Consider the following 19,533-nt stretch of genomic DNA (forward strand, 5'->3'; position numbering starts at 1 on the left):
CAGTGGTGCAATCTCTGCTCAGTGCAACCTCTGCCTCCCGGGTTCAAGTGATTGTTCTGCCTCAGCCTCCTGAGTAGCTGGGATTACAGGTGTGCACCACCACACCCAGCTAATTTTTTCATATTTTTAGTAGAGTCAGGGTTTCACCATGTTGACCAGGCTGGTCTCAAACTCCCGATCTTAGGTGATCTACCCTCCTCGGCCTCCCAAAGTGCTGAGATTACAAGCGTGAGCCACCGTGCTCAGCCTTACCATTTTTGAAACTAAGAATTTGTACTTTATTAGCCTCAACGTTATTGATGTTCTGATTACAAGAATGAATAGTAAAAAGTTAAAAAGAGAAGTGGTGTCAAAAGATAGTATTTATTTCCTAACTTAATAAAATGGATATTTAAACAACTTATTACATTAGACCGTTCAAATCACAATAGATTATTGACTATAATTTTTTTAAATGTTATCATGCTAAATATTTCAAATATCCCTTTTAAAATTTGTTTATGTTTTTCATGTATTTAGATAAACTTTCCTCCCTGCTGAATTAAAGTTACAGAAATATAAACCTCAATTTTAATCTCAATAACATAAAAATTGATTTTTAGATAAATTAGCCCAGGTTTTACAAAATAGCAAAATCTAGCTAAAAGATTATTTAATATCTGTCTCTTCCTAGGCTAGATGCGGTGGCTCATGCCTATAATTCCAGTACTTTGGGCGGCCGAGGAGGGCAGATCACAAAGTCAGGAGATCAAGACCATCCTGGTCAACACGGTAAACCCCATCTCTACTAAAAATACAAAAAAAAAAAATTAGTCGGGCGTGGCAGTGGGCGCCTGGAGTCCTAGCTACTCTGGAGGCTTAGGGGCTCAGGCAGGAGAATTGTTTGAACTCAGGAGGTGGAGGCTGCAGTGAGCCAAGATCATACCACTGCACTCCAGCCTGGGCAACGGAGTGAGACTCCATCTCAAAAAAAAAAAAAAATAGATTTTAAATCTAGAAGTCAGGGTTAACCTTTCCCTACAACTCTCCTGGCCAAAAAGACTGTATAATTTCTCAAACCTGTTATATGTTTTTCTATCTTTCTGTCCCCACTAAATTTTCTATCTCTAAGAATTACTCAACTCTCTTAATTGTTCTTATAATTTTTTCTGTTGAGAGATCTCATTTGTTCTCATAGACTTCTGTTTTACGTGTTGATAATAACAAATTATAACTTTATTCCAATGGCTCATAATTGCAGCCTATCTTTATATTCCAAAAGTCTTTCAAGCCTAAGCACCATTTTATTTCTTGACTTGGTTAATAGTTAATTTCAACAGATTCCATCTATTAATTGAAAACCATACAGTATTATTTGTTTCACCATTTCCTCTTGTCCACCACTTCAAAACAGCCATCAAATCTTGTTATTTCTTTATTTAAAACTATGTCTCATATCTGCCTGTTTCTTTTCATGGCCATAGGCAGTTTTCTCAGTAGAAGTCATCATTTTATCTTCTTGTGACAGCATCCTAAGTGGTCTCTCTGTCACTAGCCTCATTCTTCCAGGCTTCCTGCTGCCCTAAGCTTTATCATCATAAACAGTTTTGTTCATGTCAGTATGAAGACTACAAACCTCAATGAGAGTGCTTGTCACAACACTGGTTTAATTTAAAAAACAACAACCTGAAAACAGCTTAATGGAGTTGTTAAATAAATCATAAAACAGTTGAACAATAGAATATGACACAGTCTTTTTAAATGATGATGTAATAGACCTATATTTATTGATAAGACATTTATATTAAGTGGGAAAAGCATGTTAGCAAGTAGTATAAATAGCTATAATGACTATTATTCAGTGTGTAAAACATGTTACTGTTCAGTATAAACAGTTGTATCTAATTTTTATATATTAAATAACTACATATTAGCTCTCTTGGCTCTCTCTCACACACACACACACAAGTAACTATGCAAGATAAGGAATATGTTAACTTGCTTCACTATAGCAACCATCTTACTATCCATATGTATCCCATAATATCATGTTGTAATCCTCAAATATATACAATAAAATTTATTTTAAAAAAATTTTCAATGAATGTTAACAGGGAGCTTCTTGAAGGGTAGGCTATACATGCTCTGTCTTTACATTGTTACCATCTAGCATACCATCTCTCACATAGAGAAACACAGTACAAAATTTTACACCTAATATATACATTAAATAGCAAGGTAATTGGGCACTAATTCAGGGAAGAGGAGACTTACATGGGGAAAAGTCTAGAGGAAAAGAAATCCTAGAAAGAACTATACCAGAACACTAACAGCGGTTCTCTCTAGAGTGTGGGATTACTGATAAATTTTATTTTCTTTATTTCCCTCTTTTTTTTACTGATTAAACAATATATATAGTGCATAATAACATATTACAGGGCCCAAGAAGCCCAGAAATTTTTAAAATGTTAATTCAATCTATTTCCCAAAACTCATTCAATGAAAACTTCACATTTTATAACACAAATGTATCACTCTGGAAATGATGTTCTGAAAACATAGACTGAGAAATGCTCTTCCAAAATCACTAACTCCTGTTAACACTCCTTTACTGAAGTTTCACCAACTAGTTAACCTCTGAGCCCTTGAATGAGCAGTTCTTTTCCATGGTCAGAGTGTCTGGCTCTTGCTGTCTTCTAGCACCCTCTGTCTGCCCCATGTGTTGAAACTCAGTTCAAATGTTATTCCCTTTGTAAATCCAGGCTGACCTGGTTACTTACTCTTCCTGACTACACACTACGTTGTATGTTTTACCCATTTAACCTGTCCTTGTGACTTTGTCCTGTATTTTCTTCTATGTTTATATCCCTGACCAGGCAGCTCCTTAAGGGCACAGAGCCTTAATCTGTCTCTAAAGTCTAGTGTCTTGCTTTCCTGTTTGGCACAGATAAGAAAGTTGTGAAACAATTGAGAAAGAAAGAAAGGCAGAGCAGAAGAAGATGGTAGGAACATAGGAAAATAAAAAGCTATCAAAATAATAGATAATAGAGATAAACATAATCAATATGAATCATGTATATTTTGGAACAAATGTGATAAATAATAATGAAATATAGTAATTCTACAATTAGTAGCTCCTACAAGTAGCATAATCTTATGCAAAATATATTGTTAGAATATACTTCTGATGCAGATCTTGAGATGTGTGGGTGTGTGAAAAAGTTAAGGAAGTCAAGAAAAGACTCTTCCAGTTCTCTTTTTTCTTTCATTTAAATATTTGAATAGATAAGTTATGAATTATTTTTTAAAAAAACAGAGGAAAGAGGCAATTTGAAGACATGAAATTTAATTTTATCATTTGGTTTTTAGGTCTTAAATCAAATTATTTAAAAAAATTGTCTCATAATGAAAACGTATCAAATTTAGCATAAATATTTGAAATGTCTATACCATGTAAGATCCCCATTTATGCAATGTACTTGCTAGAAAAAGTCACTCCTAATAAAAATGCAGATACATTCTCTAACATATAGTATATATGTTACAGTATATATGTGTATATAGTCTATACACAGCCCTTGATATTTTTTTGCCTGAAATACTACTGCAGGAGATGTTATAATCAGAGAAACTGGAAAAACATGATATGACACCAAAGTTTCTCATTCCAAACGTAAATAAATAGACAAATGATTTGAACACATTGCTTTTCTGTCAACTTTTCCACTGATCACAGACTGTAAAATGAAGCAAATATAGAAAAAGAAAATATTTTCATTTCTTCATTGGGAAGGCAGCTGAGAAAATTTTATCTTTATTCTTTACTTAGAAAATGGCTTAAAAGAATGCAGAAGTTTAGTTCATTTGAACTATGTGGAAAAATATCATGCTGTCTGAAACAAAGACATCTGAATGTGCTTTTAATGGAATTATTGGTTTAAAAATATGACTGTAGTGCACTTTAATAGTAGATATTGAAACAAAAGCTATATTTCTTTCAATATAAGAATCATAAGAAGCTCAGTAATAAATAATATAATTTTCTTCCAAAAGACAATCAGACTCATATTTCCAAGAATCTTAAAATAAGCATGGCACTAATTCAATTACACCTGAATTTTGGAGGGAAGTACTTTATAAAAGATATGTATGTTCTCGAGTAGAATGTATAGTCTATATTTAACATATAAATAAATAAAACTTCAGAGATACTATGTTTATGAAAGTTACCCTTAGAGAACAGAATTCAATAATTCTCATCCTGACCAGATATAAACAAATGTAAAAAAGTAGGACTAAAGTAAGTAGTAAATTTGTAGATGCAAATAATCCAAATGAACCAAATCTATGTTTTTTTTTTTTTTTTGTGTGTGTGTGTGTGTGTATGCACACGCATGCAGGTGCGTGTCTTCAAAACAAGAGATGGGTTAAAAAAATTGCTGTAGATTTGATGAGTTTCATCTTTGGTGATCTGATTGAGACTCCAAGGTAAGCAACATCTTCATTTCAGAGCACAGTTTTAAAGGAAAGATATTCTATCACACTTGAGTGCTGTTTCAGTGTTTGTGTCAGCAGTCCTCCATCTCTTCTTTGCTAGCACATTTACAGATTGGCTTCATAAGCATGAGACATGCACATGGATATACTCGGATTTTGAAGTTTTGAGAAGTCACAAAGTAGTTTTACATAGAAGCAAAGAACTAAATAATTTGCGTTTGCAACAACTGTCAATGGCACATCACTAATGATAGCTCACAACAGGATAAGTAAGATAAGCCTCTGGTTAAGTGAAATTGTCAGTATGCTTGTTGTAACTCCACTCATTTCTCTTTCATTCAAGAAAGTACATTCAGTGTAAGTGAGAATAATGTCATGACTCTAATCTGTATTTTAAAACCTCCATACATTAATATTTGAAATATTATAATTATCATATACCTCACAGATGATGTGAACACACCACTAAGATTTAGAAGAATTGCCTTAAAATACAAAATTTATAAGAACACCAATTGTCAGTGGCCACTGGAAAATATTCATATAATGATACAAGGCAAATTTGAGAATTTCATTCTATTCAAAAATAATTCCATTCCAAGTCTGAATAATACCTTTTAAACTAATATGCTTGACCCATTTCCAGTATGATTATAACCGCGTGTCAATTTTTAAAATACAGTAATGTGTGCTTGAGAGATGTTCAGGATGACAAAAAAAATCCAACATGCTAGACATTCCTCATTTATTAATGGACCTGCTGATATTTGCTTCCTTTTAGAGATCATGATAGGCAACACACGGTTTGATGGAAGGTGGCTAAACTACAGCTCATTTCTTATTAAAGGAATAAAGGTTGCTATTGGATACTTACTAGAAACAATTCTTAGTATATAAAAATATGAAGTTAACATGTTGAGTTATATAATATGCAGCACCTAAATTTTTTTGTGTGTGGTGGTGGTTTGAAAATATGCAGAACTTCCCTGAGCCATAGGTTGATATAATAATATTATATTGTTACATGTCCTTCTGGGTTGTCCTTCCCCTTTTAAATGAATTACTAAGATCTGATTGACTAATGTCTCTTCTTCATCTAAAAAATATTATTTACCATTTCTCAATTACTATTTCTTAAAAATCATGTCACTATATTATTTCAATATCTACAGTAGTTTCCCATTTACCAGAACAGAAGGTCTAAATCCCACTGCTTGTTTTCCATCTTATTTGTCAAACCTTAATAAGCCACAGTGTTTCTGTGGAAAGCTCTCTATTCAATTGAGGCTGGTCTTTTCAACTGCTTAACATACTTGACTTATTCCCATTGCCTCACCTTCCTTCCTTTCTTCTCTTCAGGAATGAGTTTGACCTCCCAACCAATGATTGTTACATTCTTTAAGGTCCAATTTAAGTTTCTTGTTCTATTTACTCTTTTCTGATTTCTGCATCTTTTATTCATCTTCCATGTCTCTGAATTAGAGCATGCCCAATTTATTCTGTACATGTCATGACGAAATGTGCACTTACATATGTAACGAAAATGTCCTGATGTAAGCATCAGGGTTTTTCTATTTCTTCAGTAGCTCCCACATCATGTAACATTTTAAAGGTTTTTTTTTTTCAAGGTGCTTAATAAGTTCTTGATTGATTGATAGAGCACAAATCAAGGTTACTAAGCAACCAAAGTAAGAAAACCATTGATTAATAATCAGCTCTTGATTATCCAAGGCTTAATTATAAAGCATATAAATTTCAAGATCATTTTTCATATATGAACTCTTTTATTTTTTAATTTTAAACATCCACCAAAAAACAATAGATTTTTATAATGTTAGTACATCTACTAGACTTTGATTTGGATACAGTAATGATGCAAGGAGGTAGAAATAATACACTAAAATATTGGAAGCACTTGGTAATATTGAGTAATTTGTCCACTCCATGACTTTCCTCAATCAGCAGTAAAGGAAAGGCTAGTTGGCCCTATGATAGAATGTCCATGTGGATCTATATTCTAAGACTTGTATTACTTGCAGTCCTGTGTGTAAATGTTTCCTATGTGAAACAAGCATTTATAAATATGTCTTCACACCAGATAGTATGCCTACCGTTTTTGTCCATAATATGAATAAGCATAATACATCTCTTATCACACTCTGTAAATAAAAACTGCCTTTTTTCACACTGACACACACTTTTAAGTACCTCACACATAGTAAATCAGAAAATGCTAACTAAACAGGATTGACAATGTTTACAAATCTAGCAATTGAACAGGAAGAAAGCCCACATTAAAAACAAACATGAGGTTAAAATACCACAGCATGTGCATTTGGAAGTTCTAAGGGGAAATGTCCACGCATACACACACATACATAATGACTATTTTTGAAAGAAATGGGGAAATCTTATTAGAACGGCATTGTTCATTACTTGAAACATATGGGGAGAAATAGGTTCCTGGAGGGTAGCAACTCTAAAAGGTTTGGTATTGGAGATGGGGAGCATGCAGTGCCATTCAATCAGGAAAACAGGTTTGGCAGGCAACAGTTGTGGCTGTTCCAACTTCCCTCACCCAGCAGGTGTTGCTATGGCATAAGAATAGTCTCTGAGGGATTCAATAGAATACAAAGTGTAAGATGAAAGAACAAAATAGAAAATCATTCTCTGCATGGCATTCATATTTTCCCTGCTACTCAAGCTACAAGACCAGTTGCAAATAAACACAGGTTCTATTCTTGCTGCCTCATGAACAGATAAGTGAATGGGACTTCAGCTAAGGTTGCTAAGGTACGATTTGGCTAAGATTTCAAGTATCTTGAATTGTTATGATTTTCATATAATTTGGTTTTCTAACTTGAGCATATAATAAAATATTTTTTAGAATAATTAAAATAAATCTCTTAAGAGAATGTCCTAAACTCTTTGGAAAAAAAATAAAAGCAAATAGTTCTTTCTTTTTTTAACCTCCATGACTTGTATGTTTCTCACATACTAAAATACATAAATAAATAATAAACACTAATTAAGTATATAAAGTCTCACATGTGGAAAACTTTTTTTTTCTGAAACAACTAAGTAAACAGGAGCAAGATATTTCAGCTTGTTAAAGAATTATGTCAAAATTGTAGTAAGCAACAAATATGTATTAGATTGAGAATGTTGGAGGGAATAGGGACTCTACAAAAGAAACACTGGATTTGCTATAACAAGAAAGGGGGGGCAGGCGCAGTGATTCACGCCTGTAATTCCAGCACTTTGGAAGGCCAAGGTGGGTGGATCACCTGAGGTCAGGAGTTTGAGACCAGCCTGGCCAACATGCAGTAACCTTGTCTCTACTAAAAATACAAAAATTAGCCGGGCGTGGTGGCGGGCGCCTGTAATCACAGCTACTTGGGAGGCTGAGGCAGGAGAATCATTTGAACCTGGGAGGCAGATGTTGCAATGAGCCGAGATTGTGCCACTGCACTCCAGCCTGGGCAACAGGGTGAGACTCGGTCTCAAAAAAAAAGGGGGAACATCACACACCGGGGACTGTTGTGGGGTGTGGGGAGGGGGGAGGGATAGCATTAGGTGATATACCTAATGCTAAATGACGAGTTAATGGGTGCAGCACACCAACATGGCACATGTATACATATGTAACAAACCTGCACATTGTGCACATGTACCCTAAAACTTAAAGTATGATAATAATAATAATAAAGTAAATAAAAGAAAGGGGGTATGATAAGATGCAAAACATCAAGTAAAGGGCTGAGATATTCATTTACTAAGAAATGGCTAGGTCATTCGATGAAGAACTAGTCAACCTATAACCATTTCTGAGAACTAGAAACCAATTCCTCAAATTAACTTTCTTAATCAAGTTTTAGTTCATGTTTGTTATTTTTTAAAATAATGCAGAGTTGTTCTCACTCATAGGTGGGAATTAAACAATGACAATACTTGGACACAGGTAGGGGAACATCACATACCAGGGCCTGTCATGGGGTTGGGGGAGAGGGGAGGGAAAACATCAGGGATATACCTAATGTAAATGATGAGTTAATGGGTGCAGCACACCAACATGGCACATGTGTACATATGTAACAAACCTGCATGTTGTGCACATGTACCCTAGAACTTAAAGTATAATAAAAATAAATAAATAAATAAATAAATATAAATAAAATAATGCAGAGTAAATCTGGAAAACTGTATTTATGTATAAGCAGTTGATAAAGAATTTTAACCTTAAAAGTTGAATACTGCACTCCAAACAGTTTATTATACAAACTACTAATAATAGGCAGGAGGATCCTATAGCTAAAAAGCCAACTACGATTCCCAAATTCCTACAGTTCTTATATTCCATAATATATTTGCATCCTTGCCTACTTGCTCTTAGAAATGGTGCCATGATTTATCCAAATACACTTATATACATTTACACAAATGCGTTATCCTTTAAATTAATAGCAACTACTCTGGGAGTAACAAAAGCAGAGCCACATATGTTACAATTTGTACCCAATGTTAGAGATAATACCAATTTATTTTAATATACATTTTTGATTCCCTTCAATAGACAAATATGCCTAGGACTAGGGGCAAGACTGATAAATTTGGCTATTCATTATCTTCAAGAATTACACTATATATTGTGAAAACATATATTTATATTTCACAAGACCTACACTTCACAAGAAGTAAGGCTTCTTGTAGCTGATGGTTGCTAATTATTATTTCCAAATTAAAGGATTTTTTTAATAACCATGGAGAGTTTGGAAGACTTGTAAATTTACAAGATTAGAAATTTGACCTGGGCTCAGGTTGTAATCCACATACTAGCTGTGTAACCTTGGCAAAGGGATTTCTTAATTTTAGTTTTCTTATCTGCAAATTAAGCTGATGAAAATAAGAATTTAATGAGTAATGAAAAAATGGCACAATGCTCATGAAAGTGTCCTCTAAACACTTTGAATTTTGTAATATATTTGTAAAGAGCAAGGCTTATGTCTGGCTGCCTAGATTCAGTTCCTAGCTCTATCACCTACTAGCTGGGTATACTTGGGAAAGTAGGCAAGTCTGCACCTTTCAGTTTACGTAAAGTGAGCATAATCGTACCTACTTCACATTTTTTAACACTCATAACCTCTTAAGCCAAGGTATGGCATATAGTAAACACTCCATATATTAATATGTTAGTTATTACTATGTTTTCTTATCACTGTACGTTGTGTATCAATAACCATACTTTATTATTATGCATACATTTCTATATAGATTTTGTTTTATTCATACTTATGATGTCTCGAGTACTGAGGATAGGTACTTACACGGTCAAACAAAGGTTTATATAATTCAAATATATAAATATATTTATACCTATATAAATAAATTTTATTGCTGTTGTCTGTTGTCCAGGAGACACATATGCATTTTACATGAGGATACTATTTGAAGAAAATGACATTTTAGAAAAGACAGGAATAAACCTTTTCTAATCTGAATAGTCAGAGGCATTCCCCCAAAGCCATCCAAGGAAAGAAGATTGCATTTGTCTCCCATTAGACATAATAATTTGATCTATATGTTTGGTTACTATAACAAAATGGCACATAATACAGATATCTCAGCTCTCATTCTATTTCTATGAAATAACGAGTTTTGGACATCCCTATATACATCTACTCCTCCCTTACAAGGATAACAAAATGTCAGTGCTGTCCATTTTTACAAAGGTCAGGGTGTTGCCATGAAAACCAGGGACTAGTAAGTTATAAGGAACTGTCTGATCATGTTAATTATGTTATTGCTTTCTGGTGGATAAAGGAATTCTAAATTAAAAGGAAGATAAGCCATAAATTATACATCAAAGGCATTTTATAAAAGCATTGAAAAAGAAAGATGCTTTAAAGTAATTCACAATTTATTTTACCTTCTGGAGCAACTGTTGCTCACAGTGGTAAAATCCTCAACGCAGAATGGCCAGAAAAAATCAAAATTTTATTACTTCTGCAATAAAAAGGCCATTTGTCTCCTTGTAGAACCCATGTGACATTGTTAGCTCTCTTATAAATGATCACCCTGGACAATGCCTGTTTTACAAATTCCCTAATTACACCACTGATTGTATACCACTGAATATGCCTTATCCTGTAGAAATAGACACTACTGCCACCTTAATAAACATTTTGACATAAAACGAAGCTGGCTCTCTCATCTTTTGTCAAGAGCAAAATGAAACAACCAGTGAACACAATGTTCCATCAACAGATCAGGGTCACATGTTCTTTAGAGCAAATGAGGTTTAATTAACAGATCCGTTAATAGATAACTAATTAAAAAAGGAGTGTCTTCTTATAGCTGCATGAAGGCCTTATTAACAAATATTCTACTGAAGCATGATTGCATTCTACAAACCATTCTGCTAGTCTGTAGAAGTATACAGAAGTTTACAATAAACATATGGACCTAATTTTAAAACCACATAAAAACTTATATAATGTGATTGATTGGAATGATAGATAACTCATTCTGGACTAATACGTGTGAAGAGTTTAATACAATTTTTTAAATATGGTTTTACATTGCATTTTATTCCCAAGAAAGGACATTTCTGTTTAAATGTCAACTATATCTATTTTGTTTACAAGTATTATTTAGAAAGCCATGGTAAAAGTGGACTACTTACGTTTCATTTACAGTGGACTGTCATTCATGCCAAATGCATTTTAGACATCGACATTTAAACTGCTTGTCATTTTATTATTTCTACTTCACATACTTAAATTACCAGCATACAGATACAATTCTTCCTTGATATTCACAGGACATGGAGATGGAGGTGGGGGAAGGTATTGGTTCCAGACCACATCAGATACCAAAATCTGTAGGTTTTCAAGTCCCTTATATAAAATGGCATAGTATTTGCATATAACCTATCTCATCTTCCCACACATGTTAAAAAATCTCTAGATTAGTTATAATATCTAATACAATGTAAATGCTATTTAATAGTAGTACTATATTAGTTTTTATTTGTATAATTTTTATTGTTGTATTTTTAATTGTTTTTTCTTCTGAATATTTTTTTATAATTTCGACTTTTATTTTAGACTCAAGGGGTACATATGCAGTTTTGTTACATGAGTATATTCCATGATGCTGATCTCTGGGGTAGGAATGATCCTGTCACACAGTGAGCACAGTTCAAGATTGATTGAATTCATGGATGTAGAAACCCTATATATAGAGGGCTGACTGTATTTCCTTTCATATTCTGCATAGAATGTTTTCAAAAGTGCAGTGGCAGTCTTCTCTTTTCACATATTTTTGGTCTAGTCATTATTGCTGACAGAACACCTATAAAATTTGGGAAATTCTGATTTCTTTACCCATCATATACTTGGAGAGGATTCCACTGTTCTCAACTCTTTCCCTCCCCTGCAAATCATTGCTCTGCAACCTTTTCTAAAGCTTTTGGCCCTGATCCTCAGCATCCTCTTGGGCTAAATTTCACCCAACAGGACTTGCCAGGCTCCAATTCCTTAGTCAAATAGGTCAGAAGGCAGATACAATGTGATTTGAGGTTTCTAAAATGGATTCCCTCATCAAAAATACATTTCTCAGAGTGTATCTCTGGAGCCTAAAATCTCATTACTTGAGCCCATTCCACTGAAAGACTGTGTGTTCTGTGTAAAGAACCAAGGTTCTTCAGCCAGAATTCACCTATGTTCAACACTGTATGTCACTACTTAGTAACTGTGGTGTCAATAAAAGTCAGGCCTACGCTTTCTACAGCTTAAGCTTCTCATACGTAAAATGAATATAATCACAAAATCTGCTTAAATGGTGTCCTGAGGCGTCAGTGAAATACCAACTGTAAAGTGTTTAACCTAGCAATGAGAATGTAAGAAGCATTCCAAACACCTTAGATTTTCTGTCTACTTGTAACTTACTTTGAAATACTTCAGCATATGGCAACACTTTGTATCTTAAATTTGGTGTTGACATGGGTGTTCACAAAACTGCATGCTTACAATTTATGCATTTTTCTGTGTTTCTGTTATACACTGAAATAAGAGTTGAAAAAATAATTCACCATAAACAATGTGACCTTCATTTGTGTGCTGTAAATTTTATTGTATATACTAGTGATGCTGTTAATATAATGCTACTCATGTGTATCCACTCCAGTTGCAGTTAGATAGCAATTTAGAAACCCAAACCATGGGTCCACTGTTTTCAGGCAGCTAGGAGAAGGCAAGTATCATCTTGATCTGAACTAAAGAAATTTTAATGTAGCATGATGTTGAATATGGTCTTCCATGGTGAAATAAATACTATTAAAGATACTTGCATTGGTGAGAATAAGTAAGATCTCTCCCAACTTTTGGGAGCGGGATATGGGACTGGCAAGGAGACTCTAACATCCTAACACTTTTTGGAGTGGCATCCTTGGAATATGGCTCTGATAATCTTGTGCCCCATGATCAACAGAATAAGTCATCACATGATCCAACTAGAATGTTACCTGAATCACTTCTAGAATATTGCAACACCTGTCAACAATGACCATTTCTTGCAAGGCCTTTGTCAAAGGGATATGACTGAATATTTGAAATGCCTGAGATAATAAAGGGAAATATTCATTTAATCTAAGATTTTAAGGCATGCTGCAAGCTTTCATACTGGATTTGAAATCTGAGATTTCAAGGTCAAGTCAGGTGGAAGTGAACACAGTATATATGCTTCTGGGGTCTATTTCCTTCTCTATAAAATGAAAGGCATTAGGTCATCAATAAGCCCTCAGTATTTTAAATCCGTGCTAATAATTAAGACATGTAGGTTATCTTTTAAAATTGTTTTATGAAACAAATATGTGGAGACCTGTCCCAGTAATCTTTTATTTTCTTTTTAAATTAAGAATAGATATTTAGAACACACCACATGTTCCATAAAGGCACCATCAAAACCCAAATTCAAGTTTTTCTAAATTTTTCTCATCCCTTTTCCAAACCTCACTGATATCTAACAATGTTGAATGAAAAATAATCAAAAGATTATGAAAATTAGGTTCTTTTAAAACTGAAAAGATATTTATTGGCAAGCAGATTTGAGGGGAGAAGTTCTTTGCACTAATCATAGTTCTAGCTATTTGGAACCCTTGAAAGAAAGAGCTTTAAGACATTCCAACTGTAAAATGAAACTTAAACACACCACATACAAATTAAATCACTTTAATAACTGTTCTCTCTGTTGCTAAGAGGTCTAGAGTTCTAGAGCTTTCACTACCACATAGAAGAAAATGGTGATGAAACTGTTAGCCTGTGGATCCAATCATCATAAATACTGCTATTTAATTTTCTTTTTGCCAATTGTGAATGGTAGGTTAGTAGTGTCATCTGTGACCATAAAAATCTGAAGTGTGATCATAACTACATTAGTAGTGAACATACCATTTCCTATACCTCTATCTTCTCCTCTAATAAAAAACTTCAGGATTGGTCTTGGTATTATAGCCTTAAAATAATATGCTGTAATGTACATTCCATTGTTAACTATAAATCTGGTGGAAGCATTTATTCTTTATCAGCGAATGGAGATATCTGTCACAAGTGTTTCTTTAACTCTAATACATCATTACTCACTGTTATCATTTTAAATGCAAATTTTGAAGCTAAAAATTATTTTCAGCCCTCATTGGATTGGAGAATTTTATATCCAGTCGTTTAAAATTCAAATAGTTTCTATGTTCCCATTGCTTGCATTAGAAAAGAAAGAAGGGCACAGGAAGTATATATTGGGTATACTCTCTCATTTCTCTTTGATCTGCTCTTGCTTTCCTATCACCTGAGAATTTGAAAAAGTATTTAATATTATCAAATGAAGAAAGTCCCAAACACATGGGACAGTAATTAGACAAAAGCTAATTAAGCACTGTTAAATAATAAGTTGTAAAGTCAAACCTTTGTTCTGATATTTGGGGAAAATATTGGAGTATTTTCAGTTGATAATTGGAGGGAAATTATAAATCCAATGTTCTTTCCATAGTAATACAGATTCAATTTTATGTGAAAAATTCTAATAGAAAAACATGTTTAATGTTTACTGAACAATTACAGGAAATAATAGAATACTCTCCATTTTTATATTTATGTCCCTCAAAATATAACTAGTAAAATATTGATATAACTTATGCTTCTCAAAACAACTTGCAACTAACGATGTTTTAAATAATCCCTTTCACTCCTTTAAATGGTCTTCTTGAAAAGAGGATTCATATAATTGTCACCTTCTATGAGTGTCTATAATGCTACCTGTGGCTTGTTTAAGAAGATGCCGCATAATCTGAGGATGGATGTTCTTCATACCAAAATACTCTATTTAAACTCTGATGACCTCTTATCTTGACCTTCCCATTTTCCCCTCTCCTTTCCTCTCTTCCTCTTAATCCTCTGTCTCATTCTGTCGGTCTCTGTCACACTCCCTCACTCTTTCCATATTCAATCCTTTCACTTAAATGAAAATAAGAGCTCACTTCCATTATCAAAATTTATGCATCAATATTATGGTTTCTGGGACAAATACAATCATTCACATTTATTTTCATGCCGGTGAAGAAGTACTGAAGGCTGTGAAGATGCTCTAAATACAAAAAGCTTTCCACTGCATGGATATTCTTTTTTTCTACTCAAATTAGAGAGCTTATTTTCCTTGATTTCCATTGATCAGTCATTCTCATTTGCTTCACAGTTTCTTCTTTTTTTATCATCTCCTTGGACAGTAATAGCTTTGCTTCTTATTCTCTTCTTGGGTGAGCCCATCTGTTTCAAATTAATACAATTACTTGTGAAGTCTATGTTTTAGTTCTGACCTTTTCCTGATCATCAGAACTGATTTTCTAATTGCTCACCAGAAACATGAGGATGTTTCACCATCCCTTCAGCTACAACTAATCTCAAACCATTTTGTTCTCTCAAACCTTCTCACAAACATACATCCTTTATGTGACATTACTGTATTCTAAATGACCGAGGCATAACAGTTTGGGATCATAGAAGCAAAACAACATACTTAAAAGGAATGGAAGAACTCATCTAAGCCAACAGCTTTCAACTATGAGTAGCAAATACTCCTAGTGTGTATGTGTATATATATATATATATATATATATATATATATATATATATATATATATATATACACACACACACACACATATATATATACACACACACATATATGTCTGAGAATCAGAATCCTTTGTCCAAATATAATCTTACACAGAAGTCCTATGTATACAAGAGAAACATATTTTACTCTGATTGAAGTTGAAAAGGGAAGAAATGAGTAAAATTCTCTGCTGGTTATTTCGCTTCTCTCTGCAGTTCAGTAGCACTTGCAAATATTCCAAATTGCCATTAAAACACTATTTGGAAATCAGTTCTCCAGCTGATCCCATAATTCTATAGATGAAAAGTTTTGAGGCCCAGTCAGACCAAGGTCATAAAGCTACTAGGAGGTAAATTTGGGCCTGGACTCTGCACTACATTAGTCTGCCTGATATCAATCAGGCTTTTTCTTAAATTGACTTAAGAACATTGGTCATTGACTTAACTGCCCTTTTATGAGAGAGATTGTGAGTACTACCCAGCACCTTATCTGATTCCTATCTATCTGTCCAACTGAATAAATGGTACCCTTCACACACAATCTGCAGAATGTTTTCTTACGCTCCCTTTCATTCATTCTATTTCCTCAAACTTTGCCTTGTAAATATTCCAAACCTGTGGTGGAGAGATAAGAAATCTAACATGCAAAGAGGTTAACTGACTTCTCAGATGTTGTTCCTGAGTGAGTCTCAAAGCTCTTATTATTATTATTATTATACTTTAAGTTTTAGGGTACATGTGCACAATGTGCAGGTTTGTTACATATGTACATGTGCCATGTTGGTGTGCTGCACCCATTAACTCATCATTTAGCATTAGGTATATCTCCTAATGCTATCCCTCCCCCCACCCCACAACAGTCCCCGGTGTGTGATGTTTCCCTTCCTGTGTCCATGTGTTCTCATTGTTCAATTCCCACCTATGAGTGAGAACATGAGGTGTTTGGTTTTTTGTCCTTGCGATAGTTTGCTGAGAATGATGTACAAGGCTACAGTAACCAAAACAGCATGGTACTGGTACCAAAACAGAGATATAGACCAATGGAACAGAACAGAGCCCTCAGAAATAATGCCACATATCTACAACTATCTGATCTTTGACAAACCTGACAAAAACAAGCAATGGGGAAAGGATTCCCTATTTAATAAATGGTGCTGGGAAAACTGGCTAGCCATATGTAGAAAGCTGAAACTGGATCCCTTCCTTACACCTTATACAAAAATTAATTCAAGATGGATTAAAGACTTACATGTTAGAGCTAAAACCATAAAAACCCTAGAAGAAAAACTAGGCTAAGCTTTCTGTATCTTTTTTTTCTTATCTAGCCACTATTCATAAAATATTGCTTGTCCCCGTTGTCCAATTTTTTTTTCTTTTCTTTTTTTTTTTTTTTTTCCAACAGATCTCACTCTGTCACCCAGGCAATTTTTATCTTAATGAAAGTGTTTTGCCTCTCTCTGTTACATTATCTCCAAATGATTCACTGACTATTCTGTCACAATGCAAAGGTAGTCTCACTGTTTGGGAAACAGGAAAAGCTGTCATTGTCAGATTGATTGTTAAGCCTTAAGAATGTCTTTTGAAATTCTCTTTTATTTCTCCACCATCATTTCTCTAATTGTCTCTTTTCTGAACTCTGCAGATTCACCAACTGAATTGGCTCCCAAAGCACAAATCAGATCATATTGCCTCCCTGATAAATACTTTGGTCATTCTTGATTGTGTGAATGTGAGCTAATAAGATCTAATGAGATTCATTTCCTCCTAAGATCTAGTGCCTTATTCTTAATCCAGCTCAGATGCTACCTGCTGCTCTATGGAACTCTTGCTGACTAGATTCAATAACATTATTCTGTGTGCTCCCCTATAACTTCTATAGTTTATTAAAGCAAATGCTAGATTATATCTGTTAATAAGATTTTACCTCAATCTTATAAAATGTATTAATGTTTGTATAGACAAGTAACGGTTACATGTGAGTTTAATTTGCTAGTAAGCCCATGAGGTTTAGCTTTGTAATTATTTTATTTCTGAATTAATAGGATATCAAAAGTGTAGGTTTGAGGTCAATGCATTACAGCCTGTGGGCAAAATATGGCTACCACCTGTTTTTGTAAATAAAGTATTATTGGAACACAGCTGTGCCCATTTATTTATTGCCTATGGCAGCTTGCCCATTATCATAGCAGAGTGGAATAGTTGTGATGGAAACCATATGGCCTGAAAAGCTGAAAATATTTACTATCCAGCCCTTTACGAAATGTTTGCCAGTCTCTGATGTCCATCATTAATTCAGAGGTCATGGATTTTACTTCACAATTTTGGATTCAAGGAAAGAAATTAATATTTCTCTGTTCAGTACCTCAGATGCTAATTACATAACTTTTGATTGCAGGGTAGCTTCCTCTGATCAAAGCTCTGTCAGGGTATTTTATGTGATAGTCTTATGACTTCTACTTACATAAAATAACCTATTCCTTACTATAGCCATTCTATAAAACTTCAGTTTTAATCAGCAGAATTTCATGAGTTTCTATTCCTCCTTAATTGGAGAAAGGACAAGGAAGCAAATCTAATTAATTGGACTTAGTCATTTTTTCTGTTGCCCTCCTGTTTGTTAACTATTCTTCTTTCTTGTGTACTGTAGTCCTGTGTTATCAACAACTTTCATTTTGCAGATGTGAATACTTGTACAGACACTGGTTAACTAAAATAATTATAGTAACTAGATGGGTGGCAGCAAACTAAAATTTTGAACAGATTTTCTCAATTGGTCACCACTAGGCACCTATGCCTATGCTTCAGCTTCTTGTTTAAACTTCAAAATTTGGATCCACTTTCTGCCTATAAAATGTCCATGTACTCTAACAAGGTAGAAAAAAGATCATCAAAATCTGTATTGAGTCTTCTGCTATATTTGTCCACCAGATGTCTCATCATGGGAATTCCACAGATCAGCAGTTTCACTGTTTAGGTTTTCGAGGCATGATGCAGATGCTTCTGAGTTTACTATAAACCTACAAGTTTGTCAAGTCATGCAAAGAAATAAGTGCAAGCTAATGAGCATCCAAGGACTCTACCATGGAATAATACTGGAAGAAGCAATGAGATATTTTGCAACAATGCCTTTGAAAATTAAGTCTACTGCTGTATAACGATTATATTTTTGCAAATGAGTGACAATCAAGTGACAATAATTAAGAATTTAACTTTCATCAAAATTTTAGGCTAAAATTCACATGCATTTTTCAGCAAGTATGTGAAGTTTTTTTATTTTGTAAAATTGAATTATAGCGTATAGTATATTTAATTATAGCATATAGTATATTTAATTTTTTAATTGAAACATTTATAACAATTTTAACTTACCTGCAGTCTAGCCAGATAAAATATAGCTTCAGTAATAAAAAACTATAAAGTTGTAATAAACCAATATAATTTGCTTATATTCATATCAATGAATATCAGCCCTACAGTAAAAACAATAATTATCACTTTAATATTCTTGAGACTTTCTTCATCCTCTATACTCTGCCAAATATATCCTCCTTCCACTGTCACTAGCGCAATGCTACTTTTGTCAAGTTTTAACTCAAATGTCATTTCTCTGTAAAAGTTTCTTATACCCACATGAACAAAAAATTCACAATTTCTACAGAAGTCCGATCAAGCTTTAAGCACAGTATGCAACCACTATATATTGCCTAGTTTCTACGTAATCTGTCTTGATGATTTAGATTGTAAGCTCCTTAAGGGCAAGGCCTATTTGTACTATCACCATATAACACAGAGTGTATATGTAGCAATAACACAGGAAAGAAATCTAAAGGAAACACTAATTTTAAATTAAAAAAAAAATACTCCCAATGAAACAATTTGCATGTTTAAAGAT

At 33.8% G+C, this 19,533-nt stretch overlaps 1 protein-coding gene across 11 annotated transcripts in view; it reads right to left on the bottom strand.

The window, feature by feature from the left end:
* Positions 1–19,533, bottom strand: part of MDGA2 (MAM domain containing glycosylphosphatidylinositol anchor 2) — an 835,983-nt gene that overhangs the window by 198,361 nt on the left and 618,089 nt on the right. Inside the window, exon 8 of one of the 11 annotated variants that reach the window (XM_017021061.3) lies at positions 13,544–15,293. The exons of the other annotated variants lie outside the window; for them this stretch is intronic. Coding sequence (XP_016876550.1) covers positions 15,238–15,293 — 56 coding nt within the window. The 3' untranslated portion in view covers positions 13,544–15,237. Of the gene's footprint in view, positions 1–13,543; positions 15,294–19,533 lie in introns of those variants that run through there. 11 annotated transcript variants of the gene reach the window in all.

Source organism: Homo sapiens, chromosome 14 (genome assembly GCF_000001405.40).
Source record: "Homo sapiens chromosome 14, GRCh38.p14 Primary Assembly".
Lineage (NCBI taxonomy): Eukaryota > Metazoa > Chordata > Mammalia > Primates > Hominidae > Homo > Homo sapiens.